Here is a 1,459-nt window from a genome sequence, read left to right on the forward strand (position 1 = left end):
CTTTTGAGACCATTTCAGTAAGAAACAAATAAGTAGAGTCCTTGGTCATGTTGCCTGCTGGCTATTTATAAATTCCTTGTGACACATTCAAAAAACTTAAGAAGAGTTGCTTCATAGGATCTCTTATCTTACAGTGATGATTTCTTTATTTCGGTTTCAAAATTTAATGTTATTCTCTAATTTTATGGAGAAAATTGTATTATTTTTCATTTTATTCTGAACGTTTTCTCCCTTTGAAAGGTGCTTACTTTAAATAACTCATAATTAATTATTAATTTTCTACATCAGGAAATGTATTTGCTTTATTGTTCTTAAAGTGTTGTTTAACGTCCTCCTAAGGGATACTCTATACCTATTGTTTCATAACACAGAGTATCAATAGCAATCTTGGTAAATCATCACCCAGGAACTATTGCTTAGCTTTTCACATGCAGATACTATATTTTGTCAGCACAGCTAGGATGAAATTTTAAAAGCAGTTTCAAATTTAACAAGTTCAATGACATATAAACCAGATTGATTAATTAAAGTTGATATACCTAAGAGGAATCAGAATACTGAAGTGTGCATGAACAACTCATTCTCTTCCTATGTATTAACTTAATAATGCCAATGTGTCCATTTAAGCTGAAATGTGAACATCACATAAATATTCAAAGTCCACGTGACTTGACCTGGTGGCCATGAAAATGTACCTCTCAGATCTCCTATTTAGGGGATTATAATTGATTGATGACCGTAGCTGCTGTACACTGATTTCACCACCTTGTTTATACCAAGGCCACTACAATGATTTCACCACCTTGTTTATACCAAGGCCACTACAATGGGTCGTTAACTCTGTATAGAGAGCACTAGGGCAAGTCCCGTGAGATGAAGGATTTCTGTAACAGATGGGTTTGAGTGCTGGACTCCCCGCTGGCCTCGCTGAAACTTTATAAGAACTGCATGAGCATTGAAGAATTTTTCTCCCAACCTTCCATGCCTCTCTTTCCCCCATATCTCACATATAAGAATCAAGCCTGTGGTTTACAGTAGCCCAATCCTCTTGGATTGTCATATTGTTTTAAAATATTTATATAAACATTTCAGTTTAGCCCTACAGATGTGAGTATTTTGAGTAAATTGACATATTTTTTCCTAACCAGTTATGTATTGTAGTTCATAACATTACAAGTTTGTAGGAAGCATTTTACTGGGTTCCCAAGTAGTAAACACCAAAAGATAATAATATAAAATTATAAGGGGTTGTGTTATTCATCAAAATTAAAAATTTCTAAGAATCCTTGACTAAAATTTTATATTATAAATCTACTAAACATTAACAGATTTAAAATATTTATGCAGCCAGATCTAAGTAAGTATCCACATAACTATAAAACCTGCAATGCCCCAACATTTGAAGAAATCAAAACAAAAATATAATGTCCTGATTCTGCTCTCAGAATAATTTCTTTTA

General features: G+C 33.0%; 1 annotated feature.

The window, feature by feature from the left end:
- Positions 627-1,128: an enhancer, noted in NCBI's record as "NANOG hESC enhancer chr9:29251246-29251747 (GRCh37/hg19 assembly coordinates)". NCBI's record gives its function as "activates a minimal SCP1, AML or CMV promoter by ChIP-STARR-seq in naive and primed H9 embryonic stem cells {active_cell/tissue: H9 hESC(naive and primed)}" and the evidence as "EXISTENCE:reporter gene assay evidence [ECO:0000049][PMID:30033119]".

This window comes from Homo sapiens, chromosome 9 (genome assembly GCF_000001405.40).
Source record: "Homo sapiens chromosome 9, GRCh38.p14 Primary Assembly".
NCBI classification, from domain to species: Eukaryota; Metazoa; Chordata; class Mammalia; order Primates; family Hominidae; genus Homo; species Homo sapiens.